The sequence below is a fragment of the Homo sapiens genome, chromosome 7 (genome assembly GCF_000001405.40).
Source record: "Homo sapiens chromosome 7, GRCh38.p14 Primary Assembly".
Lineage (NCBI taxonomy): Eukaryota > Metazoa > Chordata > Mammalia > Primates > Hominidae > Homo > Homo sapiens.
In genome coordinates, this window is record NC_000007.14 from 46,099,106 (window position 1) to 46,102,510 (window position 3,405).

Genomic DNA, 3,405 nt, shown 5'->3' on the forward strand with positions numbered 1-3,405 from the left:
TCTGTCCACAAATTGCCTTGGGACTGTAAAGCCTTAGTTCTGAAGTAAAAGAGATAATTTCTCAAAAGTATCTGCTACAGATGGAGTAGAAGGAGAGCACTCAAAGGTTTCTAAAAACAGACACACTTATCTTCAGACACTGCTCAGAAAACCAGTAAGCTGGATTTTGGCTGGCCAGATAACTTTATCCTAGGAAATACTAGAAGACTGTATATTTTTCCTCCCAAAAGGAAGAATGCTCACATTGTATTACAAAAATAAACAGAGACGGTTTATGAGGATGCTTGAGAAATTGGATTAAAAAGAGGGAGAATGGGATCATTAGTAATGCAGATTAAAATAAAACAAGGAATAAAAGAAAATGTAAAAATTAACATATAGATGTTTATTTCTATGCCTTGAATATTTTATTCCAAATGATCATGACTGATAGCAAGGGCTTTACAGATTCTTCAGTAGCAGAGCTAACTCACTCATAGTCACAGAGATCTATGAATGGATTCTGAATTTGGCTTTCATTATTGCTATTGCAAAGACAGTTATCATTCTTCTTGCCACTCTTTTGAAGGTAATATTTTTTTCTCTACAATAACTTTTTATCTTTGAATTTTAGCAAATTGACTATGATATGTCTCAGTTTAGTTGCGTTGTGTTTGTTACTTCTTCAGTATCACTGAACGTTTTAGGTTTTAGGTTTATGACTTTCATCATTTATAAAATTACTTAGCATCAGATCTTCACGTATTTCTTCTTTTCTGATCTCTCCTACTGGGATTCCAATAATATTTGTATTGAATGTTTTTACTATATCCCACAGGTTTCTAATTCCCCTACTCCCCTCTCCCCCACCATTCTTTCATCTACCTATCACTTTATTTGGGTGTTTCATATTGTTCCTTTTTCCAGCTTACTATTTCTACCTTAAGTTATATCCAATTAATGATTTGGGGTATTGTATTGTTCATTTTTAGAATGTCAAATTACTTCTCTTTCTTTGTAGATTCTTTTTTTTGAAGCATTTTACTTTTCATCTATTTGTCCTGCTTTTCCTCTATCTTAATAAACATTTATCATAGTTATTTTATATCTTTGATATCTATATCACTTTTAGGTGTGCTTCTGATGTCTCCTTTTTAGCCTATACCCCTTTCTTCTCCCACATGACTGTTAATTTTCTGTTGAAACTGAGACATTTTGTATATATTAAAAGAAAAAAAAATTGTAGAGGTTCCAGATCACGTTATCATCTACTGTGAGAACTTTTCCATTTCCCTGATTACCTTAATTCAGTCATAGAGGAGACAAAGTGAAGGTTGGATTGCAGCTGTGGTAAGCGTCAGTATTCCTTTGGTATACTCTAATTCCAGATTGTGGACTTCTTGAGCTATCAATCGAGAAGTTGGCATGCCATTGTCCCTTCAGGAGGAAGACATTGTGAGAATATCCACTGCAATTTTGAAAGATTAGAATAGCTAAGTAACTAAATTAAAGTTATTTAGCTTCTCAATGTGTACACTTTCATGCTTTGGTAAGATTCTTGAAGAAGAGATCAGGTTTGAGGTTTCTCCAGCTAACAATTGCATCATTTTGTTCTCAAGGACCAAAAGCTCTGTTTATTCCACATTCCCCTAGCAGTTGACCTCTGTCAGGGTTCAGGCTTGAGTTCCCAGCCTCTTTAGATAGCAAAAGTAGCTAAAAGGAAGATCTTCTTCTCTTTAAAAAAAAATACCCTAAAACATGAAGAAAGATCAAAACAATGTGACGCCCAACAGGAATGCAGGAACATGTCTAAAGAGGACTCTGATGACCACAGGTTCAAAGAAGAACATCCAGGCTATAATTCTTCAAGTATGGTGGCACCTGGAGTGACAAAACATTATGTGACTTGGTGTTCTGGTCTTCTCTAAGCACTCTTAGGTGGCCTGCAGAGGCAGAGTAGAAGAGATAATGACGTGAGTGGAAGAGATAATGGTAGCTGAAATGCTATCATTGTGAAGAGTGGTCAAATAAGAAAGGACAGGGGAGAGCGGTACCACTTTGATTTAAAACTAACCTTGAAGTTACCTATCTTGGTTAGCATGGTGGATACTATGAATTATAACTCACAGAAACATAACTTGGAAATTCACTTTGAACCAGTAAGAATAACTGCTGTCCTGAAACACTGATCCACAGCCCTCACTACAGAAACTTTACCAGGAATAATTCAAAGATGAGTAATGATCTGAAGGTGTTAGTACTATCCAAAAATCCCAGCAAAGCTCTATTCAAATTCTACCTGAGAACTAACAGTCAGAGAATTGTCTATCTAAGGGCAGAATAGACATTCTTCTCACACACAAGTAAAATATTCATCAAGATAGACCACATTTTGGACTACAAAAATACAACTTAGCAAACTTAAGGAATAGAAATTATACAATCTATGTTCTTAGAACACACTGGAAATTAAGAAAAGAAAGTTAGCTGAATTTGGAAAATAAACCACACATTTTAAAATAACATAAATTAAAGAAGTATCAAATTTAAAATATTTTAACTAAATTAAAATGAAAGTACAACTTATCAAAATGTGTGGAATACATCTAAAGTAGAGCTTAAAGGGAAATTTATAGCATTAAATGAATATATTGGAAGAGAAGACATATATAAATTGATAATGTAAGCAGCCATCTTAGGATAACAGAGAATGAAGAGTAAAATTAAACCTACAGCAACAGAAAAAGGGAAATGATAAAAATTAGAGCAGAAATCAATGACACAAAACAGGAATAAAGAGAAAATTCTTAAAAACCAAGTTATTTGAAAACATCAATAAGAATAATACAACTTTAGCCAAACTAACCAAGAAAAAAAAAGAAAATATATAAATCTCCAACACGAGGAGTAAAACACATCATTGCTATTGATCTACATGTCTTAAATTTGATAACTCAGATGAAATGTACCGATTTCTTAAAAGACTCAAATTACCAAAACTAACTCAGGCCAAAACAGATAATCCAATTGTCCCTACATCTGTAAATGGAATTAAATAGCAGTTAAAAGCTCAAATAGTTTCTCTGATGGCTCTAACAAACATTTTAAAAAGAGGGCTTGGCATGGTGGCTCACACTTGTAATTCCTGCACTTTGGGCAGCTGAGGTGGGAAGGTCATTTTGAGGCAAGGTGTTTGAGACCAGCCTGGGCAATACAGCAAGACCCCCATTTCTACAATTTTTTTAAAACTAGTTGGGCATGGTGGTGTGCACCTCTAGTCCTAGCTACTCTGGAAGCTGAGGTGGGAGAATTGCTTGGGCCCAGGAGTTTCAAGCTGCAGTGAGGTTGAGCTATGATTGTGTCATTGCACTCCAGCCTGGGGCGATAGAGCAAGACCCTATCTGAAAAAAGAAAAAATACAAGAAA